This window comes from Homo sapiens, chromosome 20 (genome assembly GCF_000001405.40).
Source record: "Homo sapiens chromosome 20, GRCh38.p14 Primary Assembly".
Lineage (NCBI taxonomy): Eukaryota > Metazoa > Chordata > Mammalia > Primates > Hominidae > Homo > Homo sapiens.
Window position 1 is genome coordinate 62,500,978 of NC_000020.11, and position 27,990 is coordinate 62,528,967.

At 58.8% G+C, this 27,990-nt stretch overlaps 2 annotated features.

The window, feature by feature from the left end:
• Positions 1,056 to 1,285: an enhancer, noted in NCBI's record as "active region_18204". NCBI's record gives its function as "activates an Ori minimal core promoter by ATAC-STARR-seq in GM12878 lymphoblastoid cells {active_cell/tissue: GM12878}" and the evidence as "EXISTENCE:reporter gene assay evidence [ECO:0000049][PMID:35858748]".
• Positions 10,468 to 11,277: an enhancer, noted in NCBI's record as "H3K4me1 hESC enhancer chr20:61086501-61087310 (GRCh37/hg19 assembly coordinates)". NCBI's record gives its function as "activates a minimal SCP1, AML or CMV promoter by ChIP-STARR-seq in naive H9 embryonic stem cells {active_cell/tissue: H9 hESC(naive)}" and the evidence as "EXISTENCE:reporter gene assay evidence [ECO:0000049][PMID:30033119]".

Here is a 27,990-nt window from a genome sequence, read left to right on the forward strand (position 1 = left end):
GTTCATGTGTGCGGGTGAGCGTGTGTCTGCGTGTACTGTCGTGGGTTGGGATTTGTGTGTGCGGGTGAGTGTGTGTCTACATGTACTGCTAGTGTGGGTGTTCGTGTGTGCGAGTGAGAGAGTGTCTGCGTGTACTGCTAGTGTGGGTGTTTGTGTGTGCAGGTGTGTGTCTGCGTGTACTGCTAGTGTGGGTGTTCGTGTGTGCGGGTGAGCGTGTGTCTGTGTGTACTGCTAGTGTGGGTTGGGATTTGTGTGTGCGGGTGAGCGTGTGTCTGCGTGTACTGTCGTGGGTTGGGATTTGTGTGTGCGGGTGAGTGTGTGTCTGCGTGTACTGCTAGTGTGGGTGTTCGTGTGTGCGAGTGAGAGAGTGTCTGCGTGTACTGCTAGTGTGAGTGTGTGTGCAGGTGAGTGTGTGTCTGAGTGTACTGCTAGTGTGGGTGTTCATGTGTGCGGGTGAGCGTGTGTCTGCGTGTACTGTCGTGAGTTGGGAGCCGTGGATGCCACGCAAGCCCCGAAGCCCCAGCTTTCTGAGCAGCTGGCCTGTGACGGCGGCATCTCAGGCGGCTTGGCTGTGTAGTGGGGATCCCCCAGCAGGCTCCAGGACCAGGGTCTTCTCTTTGGCTCCAGGTGACCCCAGCAGACTGGCCCTGCACCTGGCCCTGTGTTGACATCTCCAGAGGGTTTGTGAGCAGAGATGAGGGCACCTGTGAGGTCAAGGATAGTCTCTGTGTGGCAGCGGGACCTTGGGCCCAGGGGCAGCCTGTGGCTCTGAGGATGGCTGTGAGTACTTGGCAATGACCCTGTTAGTTGAGCTTGTGCCCGGCAGGGCTGAGATCTCCCAGCATGTGGCATGGGCCCCTCACCACCCCGAGTATGGACCCTGATATGGTCTGGCTCTGTGTCCTCACCCAGATCTCATCTTGAGTTGTAACTGAATTGTAATCCTCATGTGTTGGTTGGCAGAGGGACCTCGTGGAGGTGATGAGATCATGGGGGCGGTTCCCCCATGCTGTTCTCAAGACAGTGAATGAGTCTCATGTGATCTGATGGTCTCATAAGGGCTTTTCCCCCTTTTGCTCTGTGCTCATTCTTTCTCCTGTCACCCTGTGAGGAGGTGCCTTCCGCCATGATTGTAAGTTTCCTGGGGCTTTCCCAACCAGGCGGAACGGTGAGTCAACCAAACCTCTTTTCTTTATACATTACCCAGTTGAGTATTTCTTCATAGCAGTGTGAGAGAGGCCTCATAAAGACCCACTTCGTAGATGCACCGAGACTCAGACCCTGAGGTGGGGCTGGGTGGCCGCAGGCTGCTCAGGGGTCTCAAGTGAGTGTGGTGGGCTAGGCCACCCGCGGTTATGCTGCCCATTTCATCCCCCTGCCTGGGTGTGGGTCTTGGTGTGTGGGGTGGGATTACAGGAAGGAGCAGTGCCCTGGGCTGGCCTGCTAGGGGTGGCCCAGCCAGGAGGCTCCCAGCAGGGTCGGCTCTCGGGAGCTGGGTCATGGAGGGTGGGGACATGAGGGTCAGGGAGAGGGCCCAGCTCCCTGACAGCTCCTGGGGCTCTGTGGCAGGGAGAGCAGGTCTGCTGGGGCCAGCTCATGCTTCTGGGGCGCAGCCTTGCCCTGACCCATGGGCTCAACGGAGGGCCGGGTGGGGCTCCCACAGAGCAGTGGGCCTTGGGCCTCAGCTCTTCCCAGATGGAAGCTCTCGAGCAGATGAGAGGGGCTGTGAGCTCCTATGCGCTGGCTCTCCACGTCCCTGCTCCTCCTCTTCCTGGTCACCCCTGCCAGCCCCTTCCTCTGGTGCTTGACCTCGCCCTACTCCCCACCTCCCGGCCTGTGAGCAGCCTTGGCCCGGAGCTGCCCTTCCTGATCATGGTCGGGACCCCAGGCATCTGCCCCTACGTTGGCCTTTGCCAACAGCTGCTCAACCTGCGAGGAGGTGCAGGGAGCCGCCGGCCCCGCTCCTTGGACCTGATCATGGGCAGGTGGAAGCAAACCGCCTCTGAGAAGGGCTGCTCCACAGACACTGCAGGAGTGCCTGGGTCCCAGGACAGACCCTCTGTTGGGTGCAAGGGATGAGGATGGCTGTCCCCACATGTCTCCTAGAGAACCTTCAGGTGGGAATCCTTTTAAGTGAAAATATTCAAAACAACCAAGCTCTCCAAGCTGTGGAGGGCGATTCTCAGACTTCTCGCCCGGCGCTGCCAAAATCCTGTAGCCGGGGTGGATGGGGTGCCCTGGCTGCCTCCCCCAGCCCCTGACAAACCGGCCATCTGGCCTTGGCAGGTGACCCCTCCTCAGCAGCATCCTTGACACCGCCAAGGTGAATTTGCACCTAGAGGTCCCGGCAGGACTTCGTTAATGAGCGTGCTCCTGCCTCAGGACTCTGCATATTCTCCTCCTCCCTGCCATGCCCAGACCCTGATGTCCCGGTTCTCCCCCTCTTCTCCCTCAGCTCTGTGCTCCAACGCCACCTTATCAGAGACCCCCACAAGCTGTGGATGGGGGCTGTGACCTTAGAGCCCCGAGTGGGGAGCACACCCTTATCAGCAGACTCCTGGCTTCCCCAGCCTCTGACCCCTCTGATACCAAAGGCGTCAGATGTCAGGCGGGAGACACAGACAGCAGGAGCCAGGACAGAGTGGGGAGGGGAAGGGGAGGCTGGTGGGGGTTGCGTCTCGTCTGCTCGCTCCTGGCCCAGGCTTACCAGTGGTGGCCTGATTGTGACAGGCTGGATCTGGCAGCTGGAGGGGCTCAGCATCCTCTCTGGGGAGGCAGGGAGGCCCTGAGGGAACGGGTGAGTGGAACGTGAGGTGCTCTGGTCACCTCCCCCACTCTTGGGCAGACAAAGCAGGCACCGGCCATGCGGGCACCAGAGCAAGCTCCTGGATGCCAGGATGGGGCTGGCAGCGCCAAGGTGGGCACAGGCACCAGGGGCTGCTTGCCTCTGAGAGTCCAGGGAAGGCTCCTTGTCTCCCAGGCAGGTTTGTGTCATGGGGACGCTCCCCACGTGACACTCACTGCTGGCATCGTGTGAAAGGGAGGGGGCACCTGCACTTTGCTTTGTCAGTCTCTGTCTTATTCCTGTCCTTAAGGCATCCTGACCTGCTCATTTGTCCACCTGCCCCGCAGCCAGCCCACTCGCCTGCCTGGAGGGTTTGAAGTATTCTCTAGGCTCAGGGGGAGAGCTCCTTCTGGCTAGTCTTAGATCACGGGAGCTGATAGAACGCCAGAATGATCCAGCCCAGCCCCCTCATATAGCAGATGGGAAACAGGTAGGAGAAAAAGCATCTGTCCCTGGTCCCTCACAGCCTTTTCCTAACATCGCGGTTATCACCACCACCACCACCATCATCATCCCCATCATCACCAACACCATCATCACCCCATCCCCATCATCTCCATCACCACCATCATTTCCATCATCACCATCACCATCACCACCATCACCATCCCCACCATCATCACCATCACCATTTTCACTGTCATCATCATCATCACCATCTTCGCCATCATCACCACCATCACCGTTTTCACCGTCATCATCATCACCATCACCATCTTCATCATCCCCATCACCGCCATCATCACAACCATCATCATCATCTTAGCACCCACTCCCACCATGGGAAAGTGCTGTGGCCCCTTTTCTGTCCTGTCCCTTTGCCTTTTGAATAGCAGAAGGTCAGAACAGAGCCTGAGGATTAATTCCAGAAAAAAACCCTCCTCTTTACCCTTTAGTTTCTGGTTGCCTTCGAAACCTCCTGCCTGTGCCTTTAGAGCAGACCTCTTCATCTTCCTGAGGTATGTTTGAACTCCATGAGACACCCTCCTACAACTTCAGTTCACCTGCTGGATGATGGCTCTGTGGGCTGGGGGCTTTCTCACGGAGCAGTCACTGCCATTTACTGTTCCTTGGTGCCAGGTGGGGGCTTGGGCCCCTCCTCTCTGCATCCTCCACCATCACCCTCCAAGGGCCATGAGGGATCTTGGGCTTGGGCCTGGCCCCATCTTGGGTGGGACTTGGTGGGCGCCCTATTCTAAGCCAGCTGCAGGTGCACCTACTATGGTCAGTCACTGGCCAAGGGCTAAGGAGACAGTTCCCACCCTCGTGGGCTCATGGTCCAGTGGGGTCATGGCATTGGCCCAATGACCCCAAAGGTGGTGAAGTTGGGGAAGCTGGGACTCCCTCCAGAGCTCAAGAACCACAGCAGGTGCCCAGGGATTTGAGGCAGGCCCTTGTGGTTTCAAGCTCAGCAGTCTTCTTGTGTGGGGGACGTCACAGACCTGCTCAGTGCCCCCAGAGGGGAGGGCTAGGAACTCGCTGTAGAGTAGTGGGAGGTTGAGGTTGACTGTATGCCAGGGAGGGGGTGAGCCCTACCCCCTAAAGTAGGCAAGTAACAACTGAAAGACTGTCTCAGGCAGGTGGGCACTTGGCCTGAGTGTCCCCTGCTCCTCTTCAAGGTGCGTGTGGGGACCCCAGAGCACAGGGTGAGCTCAGGCCCCTGCTGTGCCCCGGGGACGCTCAGCCACAGAGCACACTGGCTGCAGCTCCGCATGGGCCCTGCCAGGCTGCACGAGAACCTCTTGACGCAGCGATTCCCAGGCCAAACCCAGCCACGTTTGTGTTGCGGCTCCACACAGACGGGCCACGACCCTTGTTGTCAGCAAACTCTCTGAGGGTAAGGAGCTGCCACCCGAGGTTCACCTCCATAGCTGTGCTTCTCCTTCTGCCACACCCAGGAGAGTGGATTTGCTGTGAGCAGGGGCTGGCCGCTCATGCTGTTAGGCAGAACAGCTGTGGACTGGTCCCTGTGTCCCCGCCACATGCCCTGGACATGAGGTTTGGCTCATCTCAAGGGTGGACCTACGTCACAGGGCCCGGCTGGCCGACATGAGGCTGAGTGCCAGCTCCTACTTGCCCCTCCACGTTGACCTGCCCAGTGGGGCCCCTGGGCAGGGAGACCCCGGCCCCAGGCTGACTCTGACACTCCCCGCAATGTTGGAGCCGCTGGGCGGGCAGACCCCGTCCCCAGGCTGACTCTGACAGCTCCCTGCAATGTGCCCGTGTCATGCGGATTTGGCCTCAGGTAGGTCTCGTCAGGGACACTCTATCTTCAAAAAATGCAGCCCACACAGTGGCTGATTCCAAGGGTCTCAGAGACTCTCCAGATAGTGCTGAATGAGGGGGCCAGGGCCCCAGGGTGGCCCAGGGTCCTGTGGGGAGACTCCCTGACCCCAAGAGACTCCCAGTGTGTGGCGTTGTCTGCCCAGCCAGCCTCCCCTACTGCCCAGGTATAGAGCTGGGCTCCAGCCCGGCCAGTAGGTGCGCTCTAGGGCCCCAGAGGCCACTGGGCCTTGTGCCTGCCCGGGCTCAGACCCTGTGGTTCAGCCAGGAGGAGCAGCCACCTGGGAGCCTTGGGCCCAGAAATAGGTGGGACAGGCCAGGATGGCAGGTGGACTTGAAATTCCACGGCAAGCACGACCGGAAGGAATACATCGGGGGCGATTACACGGTCCTTCTTCCTCCTACCCCATCAATACATTTTTTTTTTCTTTTAAAAAAAGAAATGTAGTTTCTCTGAAAATTTATCCATGCTGATTTTTAAAAGTTGGCAGAGGCGTCGTTCTGGCTGTGGATCGGGGCTTCTGGAACAAGCAGGCCCAGGAGTCTCTGAGGCTTCCCCGGCAGATTCCCTCCCAAGGTGGAGATAGGGGGCGGCGGGGTCAGCGGGGGACGCAGTGCCCTTTGTGATGGCCAGGGAGATGGGGGGCCCTGAGATACCCTCATGTTCCTTCCCTCTGTCTTCTCTCCCACCCCCTCCTGTCCTGGCTTGGTCACCTGCCTGCTGGGTGACTTCAGGGAGTCCTCACCCCTCCCCAGGCCTCAGTTTCCCCATCTGTTTAGCGAGAGCTGGGTTAGTGCAGAGGCCACCAACCCAGGACAGGCCCACATGTCCCAGAGGTGACTGGCCAGGAGTGTCGGATGGCGGGGATGGCGGCCGTGGGGGCTCCGCTGGGGAAAGCGCAGCCACCCAGAGCGGCGGATCCTCGACCTGGCCCCATGCGGCTGGTCTTTCAGCCTTCCAAGGGGAGGCGGATCCAGGTCTTTATGCTCAGTCTCCTGATTTTAAAGTTGGCAACGAATTAAAATAATTTTAAAACCCTGTGCACGCTACACAAAGCGTTGGAGAGGATGGGATTCGGCAGGTCCTTATTTTAACTAACATCTTCCATTAGTGTGGTGCGTTTGTTACGATAAAAGAATCGCTTTTGACACATTTTGATTTTAAAAGCCCATGGAGCTGCCCCCTCCTCCCTCTGGGGTTGGACCAAGAGCTGGGCCTTTGCTGCTGGCTGAATGAGTCCCTGGGCCAGGGAGGTCCCAGTGATGGGGCTGCCCGGAGTTGCTTGCCCCTTTGCCCCTTTGGCCCATTGGCCTGTGGGCACAGCCCCATCATGGCCTCCCCCAGCATGGCCTCCTGGGTGGCCTTAGCCTGATGGCGGCAGCAGGAAGGAGAGGGGCGGAGCTTCCGCTGAGAGCTGGAGCTGTCACCACGCCCGGGGATTGGGGGCATCTAGGGGTCATGGTGTCCACCTCTTGCATGATGGGACCAGCTGGCCTCCGGGGCCATGCCACAAACAGCCAGGGGACAGTACTGAGTAGGGGTGGGAGGCTTCCAGGACCCCTGCCTTGCTTTCAGACTGTGGGGCATGGGGGCTGCTGAGTGGGGCCCTACCTGAGTGAGTGGTTTCTGGGGACAGGCTGGGCACACATCCTGGCAGGGCCAGTCTTTGGGTGGCAGCCCTGGCCACTGTCCCTGCGATGAATGATGGGGACGCTCAGCAACCCCCTGCCTGTGATGCGGTGTGGCCAGAGGGCCTTCGGCTCCCTAGCCTTGTCCCGGCCTTCAATTAGCTCAGAAGTGGGGCGAGAGCGGCCAGACAACAGCTTTGCAGCAGGGCCCCGACTCAACACCGCCTGTGTTCCCACAGCGCAAAGGTGTTCCTGGACCGACCCATGATGGAAGTGTGTTTGGTTCCAGGAGGCGTCCAGGGAGCTGGTCACAGAGCTGCTCCCTGCCCCAGGGGCCCTGGCGGAGCCCAGTGAGGTGGGGGCACTTTCCAGCCGCCGCTCCCTGCCACAGGGTCAGTCGCTGGCAGACGCTGGAGGAGCCCGTCCGACCGTGTGCTGGCCCTGCCTGGAGTACCCCAGCCCTGCAGGTGGAGGAGGGAGTCGAGGGCCAGCATCTGCTCCTGAAGGCAGGGGAACCCCTGGAGCAGGTCCGCCCCAGCAGAGGGGGTGGGTGGGGTTGGACCTGCAGGAGGGGGAAGAACGGGCCCCAGCAGGGGAGAGGGCTCTGTGTGCATCTGCTGGCCTGGGGGCAGCACCCACTGGACATTTCATGACGGGTTGCTGGTGTGACGGGGTGCGAGCTTGTCATCCGGCTGTCACCTGGCAGGATTCCTGCCCCTGCATCAGGGGGCAGACCCCCCTGGAGCTGAGGGCCTCAGGCCAACCACGTACCTGGAGTCCAGTACGCTCAGGACATGCAGGGACCCAGCCAGACCAGCTGGTGGCCCTAAGGCAGGGCGCGGGGTGGGGGACGAGGCAGCAGGCTCATGTAGAGACAAGCTGGGGGAGAAAGCACCCCAGGATTCTCAAAGTAGGTTCCTCCCAGCACTACTGTCCAGAGCTGATCCAAGACAGGGGTGAGGGGTGGCGCTAACCAGCCTGGGGCTGGCAAGGTGCACGGCATAGGCAAAGCTCGCCTGAGCTGAGAGCCACCTGCCTGTGTCCTGTGCCAGCACTTCGGGAGTCCTATCACTGCCCCGGACCATGGCCAACACTGCACACCACCTTGTGGAAAGGCAGCTCCATCCATCTGCTCAGCACCCCGGAGCCTGTGGGGTGACCCATGGGTGACACTTTGTTTCATCCAAGGTGGTTCTGCTCTACACCTTGTGTTTACAGCCTTGCTGGCTGTGATTGACAGCTTGATTTTGTCTTCAAAAACCCATCCTCTCTACTCCTCCACCCCTTCACCCTCCACCCTCCACTCCTCACCTCTCCACCCCTCCACCCTCACCCTTTCACCCCTCCATCCCTCCACCCCTCCACCCTCCACCCCTCAACCCTCCACCCCAACACTCCTCCACCCTCACCGCTTTACCCCTCCACCTTCCACCCTCCACCCCTCCAACCCTCCACCCTCCACCCTCCACCCCTTACCTCTGCACCCCTCCACCCTCACCCCTTCACCCCTCCATCCTCTACCCCTCTACCCCTCCATCCCTCTACTCCTCCACCTTCCACCCTCCACTCCTCACCTCTCCACCCCACCACGACTCCACCCTCACCCCTTTACCCCTCCACCTTTCACCCTCCACCCCTCCACCCTCCACTCCTCACCTCTCCACCCCTCCACCCTCACCCCTTCACCCCTCCACCCTCCACCCCTCCACCCCTCCATCCTCCACCCCTCCAGCCACCATCCCTCCACCCTCCACCCCTCCAGCCACCATCCCTCCACCCCTCCATCCTCCACCCCTCCACACCTCCACCCCTCCACCCCTCCACCCTCCATCCCTCCACCCCTCCACCCCTCCACCCCTCCATCCTCCACCCCTCTACCCCTCCACCCCTCCATCCTCCACACCTCCACCCTTCCATCTTCCACCCCTCCACCCCTCCACCCCTCCATCCTCCACACCTCCACCCATCCACCCCTCCATTCCTTCACCCTTCTATCCTCCACCCCTCCACTCCTCCACCCCTCCATCTCCACCCTCTATCCCTCCACCCTCCACCCCTCCATCCTACACCCCTCCACCCCTCCATCCTCCACCCCTCCACAATCCACCTGTCCACCCCTCCACCCCTCCATCCTCCACTGCTCCACCCCGCACCCTTCCATCCTCCATCCCTTCGCCCTCCACGCCCACCCTCCACCCTTCCATCTTCCATCCTCTCCACCCTTGCATCCTCCACCCCTCCACCCTCCACCCCTTCACCCCTCCATCCTCCACCCCTCCACCCCTCCGTCATCCACCCCTCCACCCCTCCATCCTCCACCCCTCCACCCCTCCGTCATCCACCCCTCCACCCCTCCATCCTTCACCCCTCCACCCCTCCATCCTCCATCCCTCCACCCGTCCCTCTTCCATCCTGCATCCCTTCACCCTTACATCCTCCATCTCCTCCACCCCTCCATCCTCCACCCCTCCACCCTCCACCCTTCCAGCCTCCATACCTTCACCCCTCCATCCCACCACCCTTCACCCCTCCATCCTCCACCCCTCCACCCTCCACCCCTCCAGTCTCCATCCCTTCACCCCTCCATCCCACCACTCTCCACCCCTCCATCCTCCACCTCTCCAACCCTCCATCCTCCACCCCTCCATCCTCTGCCCCTCCACCCCTCCACCCTCCATCCCTGCACCCCTCCACCCCTCCATCCTCCACCCCTCCACCCTCCATCCTCCACCTCTCCACCCCTCCACCTTCCACACCTCCACCCCCACCTCTCCACCCCTCCACCCCTCCATCCCTCCATCATCCACCTCTCTACCCCTCCACCTTCCACACCTCCACCCCTTACCCCTCCATCCCTCTACCTCTCCATCCCTCCACCTCTCCATCCCTCCACCTCTCCATCCCTCCACCCTCCACCTCTCCATCCCTCCACCCTCCACCCCTCCACCCATCCACCCCTCCGCCCTTCCATCCCTCCACCCTCCACCCCTCCACCCCTCCATCCCTCCACCCCTCCATCCTCCACCTCTCCATCCCTCCACACTTCCATCCTCTACCCCTCCATCCTTCCCTCCCTCCACCCTTCCATCCTCTACCCCTCCACTCCTCCATCCTTCTGCTGATTAACTACTCCCAGAACTCAGCACGTTCCCTAGGAATATCCCCTCTTGTGGGTCCTCTCACCTGCCCTGATGGTGAGGAAGGTCAGGCCCAGGTGGGAGTCCGGGCTGGGTGTGCCAGAGGGGCAAGGCAGAACCCTTAGCTCCCCCTGCTGCCCCAGGGCCTGAGTTGGGGCAGGAAGGCAGGGAAGAGGCCCACGGTGCCCGAGCAAAGCTGTCCCCCGTAAGCCTCTCTGTTCGCTCTTCCCGATGCCCTCTCGCCCTCCTGACCTCCACCCCTCCTGGGGGAGATACAGCCTCTGTTCACACTTGTGTGCCAGCATGCCTGTCTGTCCAGGGCCCTTTGATGCCACCAACACCTGACAAAGGCAGGCTGGGTGCTGCCATGCCCCCATTTTAAAGATGAGGAAACCGAGGCTGAGATGGGTGAAGTAACCACAACCTGACCCAGGAAGGGCCAGGCCCACCTCTGGCAGGGGCCCTGATGCTGATGAAGATGTCTTGGAAAGGTACAGCATGAAAGGCTTGGCCTCGCAGATGGAATTTCCCATGTCAGGGAGCAAGTGTTTTCTGGCCTTTTCAGGGACCCTGTAAATGGCCTCTGGGCCCCCAGGCCGGCCCAGGCCAGCAGGCTGCAGTCTGACTCAGCTTTCTGTGAGGGTCAGGCTGTCCTGGCTCTGCCACGCCCCAGCCCATCCCCCACTTAGCCAGGCACCTCCCTACTGCCTGGCGCTGAGGCTTCACCCTCCCACTGCAGCATGCGGTGGGACCACCCTGGCCCCAGTGCAGGGGTGTCCGGGATCCTCTGGGGTGCCTTCTGCCCCAGGGTGTAAAGCCTCCCATGGCAGCCCCTCCTCCAGCCTGGCTCAGATCCCCACCCCACGCCTTGCACCTGTCCATTCCTGGCTTTAAATAGCCATGACGAGCTATCCAGCTCCTCCCTGTGCTGATGGGGCCAGCACAGACTTCCCCAAAATGCCACCTCTTCCCACTGCCCATGGGCAGGCCAACCAGTCCTGGGTGCAGCAGGAAAATGGCCAGAGGACACTCAGCATGGCTGGAGAGCCGGGATGCCTTGGTCCAGGCCAGGCTTGCCGCGACCTTGGAGAGGACAGAGAGGCAGGGCTTGGGGCGGTGGCTCTCATGGTAGTGGAGTGGCCTGTCTGTGAAGCCTGGGCAGTAGCCGCTACCGAGTCCCTGGTGCCATGGTCCCCCAAAAGGCCGTGGTGGTTAAGCCCTTTGCACATGGGCAGGTGGCAGGTGCAGCCGTAGAGCCCCGCATTAGTGCCTGTGCTGGTTTCCTGCCCAGCTCCAGGTCTGGGTGAGGGTGGAGGGTGCCCGGAGCCGAGCATGGAGCCCGGCCGAGGCCTGTCTCGGAAGTATCCTCTGTGGCCCTCCCTGTGCCCGAGCAGAGTGAGCCGAGGCTGCTCTCCAGCGGCTGCACCTCAGTGCTGTGGCTCCGTGGCTATTTTTAACCTGAGTATGGTAAATGCATTTCTACAGGAAAACCACTCTCCTCGATCAATCCCTGCAGCTGCTCGGCATGGATGGCAGGGCTCACACGCAGCCTGTCTGCTCCTGTCCAGGCTGCTGAGGACTGTAACCGAAGCCCATTAGCTGACCGGGAGGGATAAATCCAGCTCCTCTGACAACTGCTTCTCGCTGGTCTTCTCTGGGGACAGACAGCCCTCCCCACCCACCCCCTGCTGCTCCTTAATATAACTCTGAAGTCATGCCTAGTGCTCAGAGGATGGCTTGGGAAGAGAACTTGGGCCTGGGTTCCCCGGTGATTGGGGGCACAGGGTGGTGGTGGCTGGAGCAGGAGCGTGAAGCCCCAGGCTTCACTCGCAGGGAGTGAGGGGGGCTTGTCTTGGGGCAGTGTCCTGGCACCATTGAGCTGGGGGTTAACTCAGAGCCATGATCCCCCTCAGGTTGCCTGCAAAGTACCCCGGGGCTGAACTCATGGGGGATTTTGGGAGAGAGCTGGCTTTCGTCAGATCCTCAAAGGGATCCTTGAACTAAGAGGTAAAGAGGCCCCAGTCCGAGGTGCCTGTCTGCCGGCTGCCTGCGACGCTGCAGGGAAGGTCCTGGTACCTGCTCAGAGGGTCTCCCCACCCTCCTGGTCTGCAGGCCCCGCCTGGAGCACTCTCTGCCCCCACTTCCTTCCCGTTGTCCTCCTCCTCAGCTGCACTTTGCACTCGCGCTGGTTTCTTTGCCGTTTGCTTCTCCCCCGAGGAGCTCTGCCGGGGCAGAGGCTGGCTCGTTCATGGATGTTACTCCGGTGCCTGGAGCAGTGCTGGGTACAGAGTAGCAGCTTAGCAAGTATGTGCAGAATGTTCCAGAAGAAGGTGTAGGGCGGCATATCAGTCAGGACAGGCCGGGCTACACTTCAGCAACAGATACACCCGCCCCACGTCCGCGTGGCCTCAGACAACAAACGTTGATTTCTTTGCTCACTTTGAGCATCCCGGAGCCATGGTGGCCGCCGTGGACAGGCCAGGACATCGTCATCATGGGGAGTGGCTCCCTGTCTCCTTGTGTGTCCTGCCCGCGTGTCTGCTTGCGTGTCTGCCAGTGTGTCCTGCCCGGGGTCTTCTGCACATCAAGAGGCTCTTGACGTTTCTCTTGTCAGACCAGGTCCAGGTCCACGGCCAAGGAAGGCAGTAGGACTCTTGGGATAGGAAGGACGGGAGCCGGGAATCGGGGCAAGGGCCCTTTGGCCAGAGGAGGCTCTGGTGAGCATGGGGGTGGTGTCACTTGGGGCCACCGGGAAGCTCCCTGCCCTGCTTGGCATTGTGTGGTGGGCACGGCCCCGCAGAGGGAGAGGGCTCATGGAGGAAGGAGAGGGCTTTTTCCTGGAGCAGGGATGGCCTTGTGTCACCCCTCATCCCTTGGAACTGGATCAGAGCCGGCGAAGGAGCCCTGGCCCACAGCCCCAGCCCCATCCCCGTGTGGCCCTTCCTGAGGCTCCCTGGGGGGAGGCTGAGCTGGCACAGGTACATCAGCCATGCCTTCCTGGGTGTGCCTGTGACCTTTGACATGATTTGCGAGGCAGTTTCATTTGGGGTCTTTATTTTCCAGCCAGGCCTTGGAGGCTCAGTTGATCTCAACAGGGAGGCAAATACATTGTGACCTTCTGCTGGGAAAGATGTTAACTTTTGCAGTATCCCGTGGGCGATGACACATGGGACAGGGGAAGGGACGTGTCTGTCGTGGGTGCGTGAGGCTGCAGGGACGCCGCCTCTCCAGGCTTGAGGACCCTCTGCCAGGCCTCGGAGCTGGGACGTGATAGCCACCCCATCTAGCCCCTACTCTGAGGTTGGGAAGCTGAAGCCAGGGGAGGGAAGGATGCCTGGGGCCCGCCAGGGAGAGGAGGCAGGGTCTGAGGTGGGGAAGCTGAGGCCAGGGGAGGGAAGGGTGCCCAGGGCCCGCCGGGGAAAGGAGGCAGGGCTGGGTTACCACCATCCACCTGCCTGTGAAGGGTTGGCCAGGCCTCGGCCACACTGAGTCAGCGGCTCAGACAGTGTCTGGTCCTTCCTGTGCCCTGGTGAGCAAAGCCTGTGAGCCCTAGTGTCCCTGGCCTCTTGGGGCTTCTGTGGGGGTGACGGCATCAACGTGTACAACAACATCGTCATCATGGGGAACCTGGGGGAGCTGAATCCATGCCCAGGGGCCTAGGAGAGGCTGGTGACAGTGAGGACCACTAGGGAGGGGCCGTGAACCTCCAGGGCTGAGAGGGAGACTCATTTTTTATGCCATCTGGCGCAGTTAGATTTTAGAAAAACAAACGTGGATATACTGTCTTTGAAGAAAATGAAAATAAAACCAGTAACAAGAACAACGATGGCATCAGTAGTCACGGTAACAGAGCTCTGGAGGTCAAGGCTGGCGGCCCCGGCCATTCCCAGACTTGCTTTTGTCCGACCCTGGCCCTGCTCTCTCTCCATCGTGGGGGCCTGTCGGTGCTGGGGAGACTGTGGGCTGCTCGGTGTTGGGACCCACACAGGTGCTCCCGGTTCCTCCTGGCTGGAGGTCCCTTCCCTGGGAGAGGTGAGGGGAGTCGGGAGGAGCCACCTGTACCGGATGCCCCACACCCTGCCCAGGGTCCTGAGCTCAGAGATGCTCAGGAGACAGGAAATGCACCAGGCAGGGCGGGTGGTCGCCAGGTGCCGGGAGATGAACGGTGTTGGGTCAGTGCTCTCACTCCTGCTGACCCCAGACACCAGGTCCACGTGAAACCGAAGCTGGTTTTTGTTATTGTCACCAGGCTCACAGAAGAGTGGAAATTGCGTTTTTGGAAGTCAGGATGTGGCTTCTGTCCAGGGCATGGCTGAACTTCAAGATGGGAGAGGGACCCTGAGGCCCCGGGGCCGGGGAGCCTGCTGTGTTGACTGTGAACACTGAGCTGCCGAGGGCGACAGTTTAAAATCACCACTGAGACTCTTGGTGGCCCCATGGAATGGCCTAGGGTTCACAGATGCCCAGGTCAAGACACAGATTGTGCAGAAACTTCTGCAGATGGGGGTCCACCCCCGTCAGAGACCCCTGGCCCCGGCCCGCGTCTGAGTGTGACGCGTTTATCCGAGGCTGTTCACTGGCTCTGCCCGTCCACCTGGAAACCCGCAGGTGGGCCTGGTTCACCCCAGGGGTGTAGGGGTGCTAGGGAAGGTGCTTCTGCCACGAGAGCCGTGGGGATGTGGTCACCTGGGCTGGGCGGGCTGGGCGTCAGTGCTGGACCTGGGCATCAACCTCGCTGCAGCCTGTGACCTGGACGTCACCCACTCTGCATCTCAGAGGCTCTGAGGGGCCCAGCCCTTTGTCCACGGTCACCCACATGGAGTCGGCAGTGCTGGGGCTTGACTTGGGCTTCGGTGTCCCCAGGGGAGATGTTTGCTTCCACCCCATGGTCGCGATTCCGTAGGTGCACTGGCGGGGCCAAGTCTTCCAGAAGAACCCACATTTACTGGCTCAGAGGTGCCTGGGGATGGGGAGGACCTTCCATATCATTTCAGCTCCACGCAGAATGCGTGTCAGGGAGAGGAAGTGAGGTACTGAATCAGTGAAGCCAGGTGGAGAGGCGCAGAGCCAAGCATGGCCACAGAGCCAGTGCTCCCTCAAGGCAGCCCTGGGTGCGGGGCCCACAGAGCTGCGGGCGCAGGCTGAAGGGGGCGGCCCCGCGCCCACCTGTCCCCACCTTGCTGGTGCCCACACAGGCTCCTAGGACCTGGGGTCTCCAGCCTGGGGCGCTGCCCCCTCCACAGAGGCAGGTGAGAATAAAGTCACAGCTTTTGGGTACTTACTACCTGGCAAGCCCACGAGAGCTGAGGTTTCCCGGGCTATAGCCTCAGCTGTTAGTTTCACAGGTGCTGTGTGACTGTCGCACGTGGCGTAAAATTTTTGGTGGGCATTAATTGAGCCAATGATATAATTCCGCTTAAACCGAGAGCTTCTCCAGGTCCCGAAGTTAAGAGTAAATCTGTAGACATTTATCTTATCGCTGCGAAGGGAAACACATCCCAGATGAATTCAGCCAGGAGCCCGAGTCTGCCCCATCCTGGAGTCGGTCCCTCTGCTGACCGCTGGGTGGAGACTCCAGGTGGCGGCCACTCAGCAGGTTTGGTGCATGCATGGCGACCGCTGCCACTACAGGCTTGTCTGCAGCACCAATCTGCGGGCTCATCAGTGCTGGGCGTGCAGCCTGGGGACGCTCACAGCCACCTCTGACACCCACCCAGCAGGAGACTATGGGGGCCTGTTGTCCTCCAGCCTGAGACCCCTGAGCCCTGGCTACACCCAGCCCTGTGCAGGGTCCTGCCTAGGACACTGTAGATGCAAAGGCCACAGAGGCATGACCAGCACGCTGGCTGGCACGAGGGGCAGGGAGTGGTGAGAACTGTGGGGAGCCGGAGAGCATCTGCCCATCTGGAGACATGGCCCTCGGTGCCCACTGAGGGGCCCTGGGAGGTCAGAGACACTGACCCATGCAGGCCAGAGCAGGCCCGTCTAGAGCTGGTTTAGGCCATGGGCTTCTGATATCAGGGCCCATCAGATTGGAAGCTGCAGGGGGACCAGAGCCACTCACCCTGCACGGGCCAGGTACACAGCAGGCACCTAAAAATGCTTGTGAATGACTGAACCAAGGATGCAGGCGGAGGCCTGGTGGAATGAATGAATGAGTGGGGCAGTGGGGGCAGCAGGGATAGGTTCGTCGTGAGGGCTGTGGAAACAGCCCCTCTGCGTTCCAGCCCTGTCCCCACGTTCAGCTCTGAGAAGGTGCCAGGCTCAGCTTTCTGATCTGCAAGTGGGTTGATGCTGAGAGCCTGTCCTCACCCGAGCAGTGCTCAGCCAGGGCCTCACGGTGGCTCGACAGGCGCTGAACGGGGGAGGAGTGGGTTTTGGGAAGTGGGGAGGGTGGGGCCTGTGCCTGTGTGCGGGGGTCGCAGGGTGGGGTCCTGGGAGAAGGAAGAAGAAGGAGGCAGCGCCCACCCGACCCCCGACCTTCTAGACCGATTCCCACAGAGAAGAGCTCTGATCTCAGGTGGCCGGGCTGTTACAGCCACACCTGTGCCACGGCCATCACAGGCCATCTTCTGTTCCGTGGCTGCCCTGGGTGACCTTCAGCCTGTGGGGCACACGCCTCAGCTGCAGGGTCCTCACTGCCTCCCCTCCACTCACCCCTCACCGAGAGCCACGGGGCGGGGGGTTCCAAAACTAGCCAAGTCACCCCACATCCTGCAGAACTGGTGCCATGAGGTCCGGCTCCCCACACAGCCTCCCCCTGCCCCCCACAGCCTCCCCCATGCCCCCACAACAGCCTCTCCCATCCCCCCCACAGCCTCCCCATGCCCCCCTCACAGCCTCACCACACCCCCTCACAGCCTCCCCCATCCCCCGCACAGCCTCCCCCATGACCCCACAGCCTATGCACCCCCAACAGCCTCTCCCATTCCCCACCACAGCCTCCCCCATGCCCCAAACACAGCTTCCCCATGCCCCCCGCACAGCCTCCCCCATGACCTCCACAGCCTCCCTATGCACCCCCAACAGCTTCTCCCATCCCCCCACAGCCTCCCCCATGCCCCCCACACAGCTTTCCCACACCCCCCTCACAGCCTCCTCCATTGCCCCGCACAGCCTCCCCCATGCCCCCAGGAAGAACAGCAGGTCCGCCCCAGGATCCCTGGGCCCCCAGCCAGTGAGGTCTCCTTGGGACTACAGGACGTGGGTGTCCTGTGGGGCCGCCCCAGCACAGCACACAAAAGCCGGCCAGGGCAGCTGCCAGCTCAGCTGTCAGGGGAAGAGGACATTATGGTCCAGGTACAGGCAGGCCTGTGGGCTGACCCCGGACCCCAGCGCCTGCTCAGGAAGGAGAGCTACCCCTCCCAGCTCGGATCCTGCAGCTGTACTTGGGGAGCCATGGACGCCAAGGCAGGTGGCCAGGGCACCCCACCCCACTGCACCCCACCTTAGGAGGTGTCCCAGGTGTCCCCAAGCCTTCGTTTTGGTGCTTGGCCCCTGAACGCTCCTATCAGAGGGTTTACCAGCTCAGGCAGCAGCTGTGGGTTTCCCGCATCCAGGGCTGGGCCCCCCAAGGGCTCTCGGCAAGTGTTCATTCCCCAAGGAGCCACCAGGAGTGTGTGTCCTCTGCCTCTGTGAGGGGGGACCCAGGTGTCATCTTTGTTCCTGGCGGTGCTGGCAAAGATCAGGGCTTCCTACCAAGGCCCCCAGCCGGGCACCATAGGACTTTGGAGGAGGCAGGGTCCCAGCCGCATGGCCCTTCTGAGACCATATGGTTCTGTCTGAAGATTCTGAGTCCCTCTGAGGACCCCAAGATTCAGGTCATGGCTGGACATTCTCCAGTTCCCTCCCGGGGTAGCTCCCTGAGCACCGGAAAGAGGATGGGGTGGGGGGCGCCAGCCCAGAGTCTTCTCTTGAGGACTGACTGCACCCCTGCCCCAGGAACAGGATTCTGGGGCCTTGAGGCCCGCGGTTCACGCCGAGAGCCCCTTGGGGACCTCGGGGCAGGCGTGTGGGGCCTCCTGGGCCGGTGCTGCTCTGGCTCTGTCCCGAGGCTGAGCTGGGCGAGTGCTCGCTGAGCTGTAAGTGGGCAGGAAGGGCCGGGACTTGGACCCACCCACCTGTCTCAGCCGCTCAAGCGCTTCTGGGATCAAGGGTCCTGAGATAGCTGCCCTGGCCGATGCCCAGTGGGAATGCCTGTGACGGGGCTGGTAGGAGGCTTTCTAATCCTCTGAGGGTGGCGCCTGAGTCACCCAGCAGGAGCGGGCCCTGCCCTGCCCTCCACAGCCGCTGTGCCGTTGGGTGTGCATGGGTCTTGGTACGTGGACACCCCTGCCTCTCGTCCCGAAGTGGAGAGGGCCGGATTCTCCCCACAACCCCTCCTGTGCCAGAACTCGGACGCATACCTGGGTGGCTCTTGGGACCCATGGCTCTGGATGCCTGGCCCAGAGGAGCGGGGCCAGTTGAGAAATTATTCTTGGTGCTGGGGGTGGCATTGAGTCTCTAGGGGTCCAAAACTCTAACCACACTGACTTGGGTGGGGCTTAGCCTGCCGGGGTCCCCAGCGCCAGGCCCCATTTCTGCTAAGGTCCAGAGCCCTCTGTCGCTGGCCACCCTAAGCCCTGGTGGATGCGGTGGAGAGGACGGACTTTCTGGGGCCATCAGCTGTGGCTGAGGGCTGGGTATCTCCTAGCACCCCCACCCCCTCCATTATCTGTGAGTCTTGGAGGAAGTGGAGGCGGAGGGCAGGGGTCCTCAGCTCCGCTTTGTTGATGGGGTCCCCAGAGGTCAGGGACTTTCCTGAAACCCCTTTGAGTGTTGGGGTCTGGAGTCCAAACCCCGGGCTCTTCCCCTCAATGACCCCTCGAGCCCCGCCAGGAGCCTCACCTCCGATTTTGGGGGACTGTTCCTGGTATAGAGTGGATTGGGAGCAGGAGTCCCCAAGAACCTGGGGCCCTTCAGCTTTTGTAGACACCAGCCTCGGCCTCTCTGGAGCCATATGTGGAGGCCCATGCACACCGGGTGGGGTCTCCGGAGGCCGAGGTAAAAGCCCCACAAGAATTCTGCTGACTCTCACACACTGCCCTCTGCCTCCCCCAGGCCTCGTCCCACTGGCCACGCACAGGCAGCTGGGTCTGGGTGTGATGGGCAAGTGCACGTGTCCATTGGGGATGTCTGGGGAATGAGGCAAACAGACCCCCAACCCCCGCAGCCCTCGGTGCAGCCCCTCAGCCCCAGGGCAGAACACGGTCTTTCTCGGCCAGCGGGGGATGGTGATGGGCCTCAGGGCCGTTCCTGCTTTGCTCCTGTCATATTCTAGTTATTTTATTACAACTATGGCTTTCTGGATCCCAAACCATGTACACATGAGGATCTCAATCCTGAAGATAACATAAAAACTGCGCCGGGCACAGGGGCTCACGCCTGGAATCCCAGCACTTTGGGGGGCTGAGGCAGGAGGATTGCTTGAGCCCAGGAGTTCGAGACCAGCCTGGGCAACACGGCGAAACCCTGTCTCTACAAAAAATACAAAATATTAACTGGGCGTGGTGCGCACGCCTGTAGTCCCAGCTACTGGGGAGGCTGGGGTGGGAGGATCACCTGAGCCCAGGAGGTTGAGGCTGCAGTGAGCCGAGATTGCGTTACTGCACTCCAGCCTGGGTGACGGAGCAAGACTCTATATCAGAAATCAAAACAAAAAACTGTAACAACTTTGGCTGGATTTTCTAATTTTTAAAAAATTAATAGACTTTATATTTTTGACCAGTTTTAGGTTTACAGAAAAATCGAGTGTATGGAAAGCCTCCGTGTGCCCTTCCCCCACTATTGGCGTCTCATGTTGGTGCGGTACATTTGTGACAATTGATGAGTTAATACTGATACCCATCATTATTAACTAGAGGTCATACTTCACTCTTAACACTGCACATTCAGTGGTGTTTATTTTTTTTTGTTTTTTTTTTTTTGAGACGGAGTCTCACTCTGTCGCCCAGGCTGGAGTGCAGTGGTGCCATCTCGGCTCACTACAAGCTCCGCCTCCCAGGTACACGCCATTCTCCTGCCTCAGCCTCCTGAGTAGCTGGGACTACAGGCGCCTACCACCGTGCCCAGTTAATTTTTTGTATTTTTAGTAGAGACAGGGTTTCACCGTGTTAACCAGGATGGTCTCGATCTCCTGACCTCGTGATCCGCCCACCTCGGCCTCCCAAAGTGCTGGGATGACAGGTGTGAGCCACCGCGCCCGGCCCATTCGGTGGGTTTGGACAACTCTGTAAAGTCCTGTATCCACCGTCACTACTGCATCATACAGGATATTTCCGCAGCCCTAAACATCCTGTGTTCCTATTCAGCCCTTTCTTCCCTCCCCACAAACTCCTGGAAACCTCGGATCTTTTCCATAGCTTTGCCTTTTCTAGAATGTGGTATGTTTGGAATCACACAGCATGGAGCATTTTTGGATTGACTCCTTCCCACTGGCAATAGCGTTTGAGGTTTCTCTGTGACTTCTTGCGGCTCGACGGCTCATTTCTTTTCAGCACCGAATATGACTCGGGTTTATCCAGTTACCACCCGAAGCACTTCTGCTGTATACATCCACTTGTGGGAATTTGTGTGGACGTAAGTTTTAAATTCCTTTGGGTAAATACCAAGGAGCACGATTGCTGGACCGTGTGGTAAGAGCACGTTTAGTTTTGTAAGAAACCGCCAGACTGTCTTCCAGCAGCCGCGCCATGTTGCCTTCCCAGCAGCCACGGCTGAGGGTCCTGTTTCTTCACATCCTCGCCAGCGTTCGGTGCTGTCCGTGTTCTGGGTTTTGGCCGCTCTAGTAGGTGTGTGGTGGCATCTCTTGGTTGTTGTTAATTTGCGTTTCCCTGGTGATGTAGGACGTGGAGCAGCTTCTTATATGCTGGTTTGTCATCTGTAGATCTTAGGAGAGGTGTCTGTTCAGGTCTTTTGCCACCCCCACTTTTTTTTTTTTTTTTTTTTACAGAGTCTCGCTCTGTTGCCCAGGCTGAAGGGCAGTGGCACCATCTCGGCTCACGGCAATCTCCACCTCCCGGGTTCTTCAGGCTCCTGAGTAGCTGGGATTACAGGTGCGTGCCACCACGCCCAGCTAATTTTTTTGTATTTTTAATAGAGACAAGGTTTTACCATGTTGGTCAAGATGGTCTTGCTCTCTTGACCTCGTGATCCGTCTGCCTTGGCTTCCCAAAGTGCTGGGATTACAGGCGTGAGCCCCCATGCCCGGCCTTTTGCCCATTTTTAATAGGGTTGTTAGTTTTCTTTTTCTTTTTTGGAGACAAGAGTCTCCCTCTATCTCCCAGGCTGGAGTGCAGTGACATGATCTCAGCTCACGGCAACCTCTGCCTCCCGGGTTCAAGGGATTCTCCCACCACAGCCTCCTGAGTAGCTGGGACTACAGGCATGTGCCACAATGCCCAGACAATTGTTGTATTTTTGGTAGAGACAGGGTTTCACCATGTTGGCCAGGCTGGTCTCAAACTCCTGATCTCAAGTGATCCACTGGCCTTGGCCTTCCAAATTGCTGAGATTACAGGTGTAAGCCACCGCGCCCAGCTGGTTGTTTATTTTCTTATTGTTGAGTTTTAAGAGCTCTTTGCATATTCTGTGGCTGGCTTTTATTCTTTTCATAGTGTCTTTTGCAGAGTAGAATTTGTTAATTTTAATGAAGTTCAGCTATCAATTCTTTCATAGATTTTTCTTTGCTGGTTTATCTGAAAAGTGACCCCCAGAACTCAAGTTCTCTAGTTGGAATTTTTAATTAAAAAAACAACAACCTTGAGCTTTACATAAAGTTTTAATTGGTTAACACAAAAAATATTAACATACTCTTGGATCTAAAATAATTCTAATAGGTAGACATTTTGCCACCCAGTGGGTAGAGGATGGTCCCCCCAGGCTGACTGACTCTGATTTGGTTCAGGTCAGCCCTACCATGAATCTCCATCTGCTCAGCATCTACCTTGAAAGTCCAAGTGAGTAAGGGAGACGGTGACTTCTGTGGTTTCCCTGGAGATTCCCAGGGCTATCAGCGTGGCTGGGGGAGCCCCTGACTCCAGCTCGGGTGTGTGGCCTCGGTCTTAATCGGGGCTCTGGACGACGACGCACGGGGAGATAAGAGCCTGGTCCAGCCAGGCTGGCACCATGGACTATTGTGACCTCCTGTCTGGACAGCCGTCCAGTGATTGGGACAGGTGGTCTGGGTTTTCTAGCAATGCCCCCACACCGTCTATGCCCCCTGCCTCCTGCAGCCCTGGGTCTCCCGCAGCCCCGGATCTCACGCAGCCCCGCCTGGGGCCACCACCATGACTCGCTGAAATGTCACCAGGGTAAAAAAGGTCAGAGCTGCCTGGGCCACATGAATGAGAGTCCTGTGAGCAGCTCAGCGGCCTCCCCACCAGTTGTGGAAGAGTGCCCTCTGCCCCTTCTCTGTCTCTCTGTGTCTCTGTCTCTCTCTCACTGCTGAGTCCCAGAAGGCCTCCCCGAGGTCCACCCACCCAGACCCTCCTGGAACCCCATTTCACTCCCTCCCCATGCTCTCTAATGGCTGGCTGCCTTCACTTTTCTAGCCAGTCCTTGTGGGAGGGGTTGGGGGCAGACCTGGGCAGATGTGGACTCAGGCCCTCTAGGTTCCATCTGCCCCCGGCCCTCCCCAGAGCCCTCCTGGGAGTGTGAGTGCAGGCGTCCAGCGGAGACGCTGACACCCTCTGGAGTCCCAGCTCTGCCATGCTGGGCACTGCCACTTCTCTGAAACCGGCTTCCTCATCTGAGAAGTGGGCTGGTAAGAGTCCGCACGATGGAGAGGGTTGCACTGGACAGAGCTCTCCGTGTCAGCCCGGCTGCAGGAAGCCCCCCATGTCTGTGCCCGGAGCCCCTGGGTGCCTGGAACTTGGGGAATGAACTCAAACAGAGACCCCGCCTGCTCACTGCTGTTTGCCCAGCTGCTTCTCTGGCAGGCATGGCGGGGAATGGGGTCATTTCTGAATATTCTTTAGAATTCCAGCCTCTATTTTCACGAGCCGATCGGCTGTTCGGCCTCACACCATTGGCGAGCGAGGATCCAGCCCGTTCTGATCTCCGCCCTTGTGGGCGAGTGACAAGGTGATGTCCCTGGGGGTGAGTCAGAGGAACTAGGGGCCTCAGAGGGGCGGGGACCAGGCAGGGCCACCTCCCCACCGCAGCTCCACCCTCCCTTTGATGCTCCCTACCCGCCACCCGTCTGGAACATATGAGCGGCATGCTTAACAGAATTGTACAGTCTCTCTTTAAAATTTTTTTACAGTAAATGGAGAAAAACATTTGCATTATTTCAAGAAACTAAGTGACTGAAGTTTGTTGTTGGCTCCTGTGGACTTTCATTGATTTTCAACAATGGGACCAAGATTCTCAATAAAAAAATATAAGCCCAACAAGGAGGCCTCTCATTTTCAGTAGATTATTTTGTTATCTTTTAGATGGGGTGCGCTATTGAAGAATATTTTGGAGATTTAAAAAAAGCAGTTTAAAAAATTAATATCTGCCCACTGTAAACAGTAGGAGAGTTGGGGCGCTCCTACTCCCACCCCCCGCCTGCCTCAGCCCCCCTCAGGTGGCCCTTACCTGCCCCATCTGGGTGGGAACAAGCCCCCCGGGCTTCAGCATCTGCTCAGGCTCACCCTTGTCAGCTGCAGATTCTCTGTGTTGGGGGAGGGTCCCAGGAGCTCCCCCCTCCCCCAGGCTGCTGTAAGTCTCCGGAGGCTTCTGTTGGGGGCAGGGAGGGGCATCCGCTTCGTGGCCTCACAGCAAAGAGAAGAGATGTTTTTTCTTTAAGAAGCAGAAGGGTGAGTGGCTGCAGACGGCTCTCCCCCAGCTTTGTTTAGATTTATCTTCTTTATAAGCTGCGCTGGGCTGGACTCTCTGCTAAACCGCCAAGGGGATGTGTGAGCCAATTACACACTGAACTGGGCAGGAAATGTTGAGGAAAAATGAAGTTTCCATCTGGCAACTTCCAACCCAAACTTCGCCTGGACGCGAGGGAAATCCCCGTGAGCCGCAAGATGCTCTTTGCTCAACGTCTTCACGGCACCTTCCCACGGGAGACGCGACGCAGGAATGGAGCGGGGACGAGTGGGCCTCGGCCGGTAGCTGGCTCCCTGCGGCCTCCTACCCCGGCTGGGGTGGCCCTTTGCCTTCTTTGTGGAGAAGGGACGCCAGGGTCTTGAGACTGTTAAATAAAGCACAATCTCCGGGAAGCAGAGAGGTCGAGCATCCCCTAACCCCAGCTAGCACCCGGCAGTGACCAGCCAGCCCCGAGCCAGCCCTTTAGAGCCCCTAAACCCACAGCAAGGCTGCCTGTGGCGGAGGAGCTGGGCCCTGGACCCTGGTGCTTGCAGGCCATGGCGGGGGGAGTGGGGGGGGCTCTCTCGCACGTTTCCTTACTTGTCCCAGGGGCCAGATCCTCCCGGCTCGGGGGATGTCATGCAAGGCAGTGAGGACCCAGCGGGTCCCTGCTCAGGTGGAGATAAAGAGGAAGGCGATGGAGAAGGGGGCATCCATGGGCCCTGCACCCTGTCACCTGGGTGCCATCCGAGAGCCACTGCTAGGTCCCTGTGGCAGCGTCCTGTGCCACCCCTGACGCAGATGAGGGACAGGGACGGCCCACCAGCAGTGAGAAAGAGACACACCCATTGTGGAAGCTCGGATGGCCGTTCTGACGGGAAAGTCACCTGGGGTTCCCCCAGTGTTTCTACTACTGTTTGGGAGTGGACGGTGGTCGTTGTGGGTGGCTGATTAGTGCTTGTGTCTCTTCAGCTCCAACGCGAGTGGTTGACTTCCCGGGCTTGTCAGTCTCTGGTGGCTGCTGTGGCAAACGGACCCAAACTTAGTGGCTCGAAGCCACCTGGCTTTACTGTCTTACAGTTTTGGAGAGGTCTGCATGGGTCTCCCTGGGTCAAAATCAAGGTGTGGGCCAGGCTGCTTCCCTCTGGAGACTTCAGGGGAGGCTCGCTCCCTCCTCCCCTGCCTCTGGAAGTGCCTGCGTCCCTTGGCTCGTGGCCCCGCCTCCATCTTGAAGGCCAGCTGTGCAGCATGGCCCATGCTCCCTGCTCCATTGCACGCCTCCTACCTTCCCTGACCGCTTGAGCCCCTTGCGATGATCTGCACTGGGCCCACCCAGGGTCACCTCCCATCCCATGTCCTTCATCCCATCTGCAATGTAAGGTGACATGGCCACCTGTTCGTTCTGCAGATTAGAATGAAGACATCTTTGGAGCCATTATTCTTCCTTCCACTCAGGGAAGAACTTTCAGTGGGTAGCAGTGCCTTGGCTACCATGATGGGACGGCCGGGTGGCTGTCATTTCTTGGGACCCCCGCCCTAACACACCCCTGGCGACATGCTGAGCCTCACTGCATCTTTGCAAACCTTGGCAAGTCTCCTGTTGTGCCTCTGGGGAAGCCTCTCAGTGGAAGGGCCATGTCCCTTTTGGATGTCATCTCACCACATCACTGCTTCTGCTACAGGTCTCTCCTCTGCTGGTTCCTGACAGGAAGGAGGTGCTGCCAGCGCTGACCCCACAGGGAGGGTCTGCGGAGAGGTAGCCGGGATGATGGGGTGGCTCTGGGGACCTGGGGAGCCAGGCCTGGCTGCGTGATGCTGCATTTCTGCTCGCTCAGCCTCCCCTGCCCAGCCACTGTGGAGCAGGTGTTGGTGGGGTGGGCAGTGGCTGCAGCCTGGCTCCCTTTAATGTCTACCCCAAGCGGGCCATTCGGCCTGTCCCTCCTCCGTGCTCCTTTCCCAAGCTTCAGGGTGGGGGGCATCGGACCCAAGTTCCTCTCCTTGGGGCAACCCTTGTCACTGTAGAGGTGGCTCCCTGGGGCCACTTTGAGTGGAGGGACGGCCCCCAACAACCCTGCTTTAGCCGCTGGTACTGATGATGAAGGTGGGCCAGGCCCCGAGGCTCCTTTCCACTTTTGCTTAGGTGAAGCCAAGCTGGGGAGGCTCTGAGCGCCGGGCCACCAGGGGTTTCTCTTCAGCCCCCTCCTCTGCTGCAGGGAAGTCCCTACAGCGACTCTTCCTGGAATCTGGCCCCAGTGGCTGGACGATGGGGAGAAGGAGGAGTGGGGGCGGGGTGCGCCAGCAGGCACAGGCTGCAGGCTTAGGAAGGTGGTACAGGAGGAGACCTCTTCTGCAACCATTTTAGATTTACAGAAAATTTGCGATAATACAGAGAGTTACTGTGTACGTCTGGTGAGCTTTAAAAAAATTAAGAGACTATTTTTTATAATAGCAGTTTTAGTTTTACAGAAAAATGTTGTAGAAGTACAGAGTTCCCTTATGCCCCCTGCCCAGCATGTGCACGGCCCCCCCGCCCCCGCCCCCTACGGTCCACATCCCACCACAGGTGCAGTGGCTGCAGCAGGTGACCGGGCATCAACATGTCAACATGTCCTTATCACCCGGAGTCCGCCCTTTACCACACGGCTCGCTCTTGGCGCTGGGTGTTCTGTGGGTCTGACTTGTTTATAACGGCACAGATTTCCCCCTCCCGCTGCGTCCCATGGAGCAGCTCCACTGCCCTCTGCCCTCACACCCTCTGGGCTCCTCCTGTTCACCCCTCCTCGCCCTAACCCTGGCAGCCACTGGTCTTTCTGCTGTCTCCGTGGTTTCGTCTTTTCAAGAGTGTCATACCCAGTAAGGCTTCATTTCATATCATTGATAGGTTTTTGGAAACTGGGACTTTAAGCAAAATGACGTATAACAAAATGAATTTGACCACAGGCTAATTAACATGAACAAGAGTTAAGTTCCTATGGCATATTTCTGGTCACAAAAACATCACCAAACTTCTAAATAAAGTCCAAAGCCCTTCTAATATTAAACATGGAAACAAATGTGAACTGTGCGTTTTTAATCAAGAATTTAAGAAGGATTATTAAAAACAAGTAAGATAACTATTTCCCCACTTATTCCAGTTCAGGGTGACTAGAGCTCATGCCCCCATCTCGGGGCACCAGGCGGGAACCCACCTGGACACAGCGCACGCCGCTATGGGAGTTGCCGTCCTGGAGTGGGCACTCACACTCCGTCCTGGGGCAGGCACTCCGACGGGAACAGCTTCGACACGCCAGCTCCCCTACGTGCACATCTTTGGGGCACGGAAGGAAACTGGAGCATCCACAGAAAACCCACGCGGACCTGGGGCGATGCACAGGCTCCCCGGACAGTGGCCCTGGGTGGGAGCAGATTTGCTTTTCTCAACATTATGATGAAACAACGTTAAAGAAAATAACATTGGCCGGGTGCGGTGGCTCACGCCTGTAATCCCAGCACTTTGGGAGGCCGAGGCAGGCAGATCACGAGGTCAGGAAATCAAGACCATCCTGGCTAACACGGTGAAACACCATCTCTACTAAAAATACAAAAAATTAGCCGAGCGTGATGGCTGGTGCCTGTAGTCCCAGCTACTCGGGAGGCTGAGACAGGAGAATGGCGTGAACCCGGGAGGCGGAGCTTGCAGTGAGCCGAGATCGCGCCACTGAACTACAGCCTGGGCGACACAGCGAGACTCCGTTTCAAAAACAAAAAAAAAAGGAAATAACATTATTCAAGGACCTGCTATCATTCATTGAAACCATGCGTCATGCAGCCTCTTTAGACTGGCTTCTTTCACTTAACAATATGCCTTCAAAGTTCCTTCAGATCTTTTCAGACCTTGATACACGTTTCCCTTTATTCTTGATCAGATTCATCATATTCAAATATCATAGTTGGTTACGATTATTTTACTTTTAAAGACTGGGTTTCGCTATGTTGCCCAAGCTGGACGTGAACTCCTGGGCTCAAGCGATCCTCCCGTCTCAGCCTCCTGAGTGGTTGGGATGACAGGCGTGAGCCACGTCGTGGGGCTTCATTTCTCTCTATTGTAGAATAATATCCCATTGTCTGGATGGGCCGTAGTTTGTTTATGCGTTTAACCCTGTTCACCTGCTGAAGCACATCTTGGATGTTTGCAGGTTTTGGCGACTCTGAATGAAGCTGCTGCAAGCACCTGAGTGCAGGTTGTTTTGCGGCAGGGAAGGCCTTTGCTGTAACGAT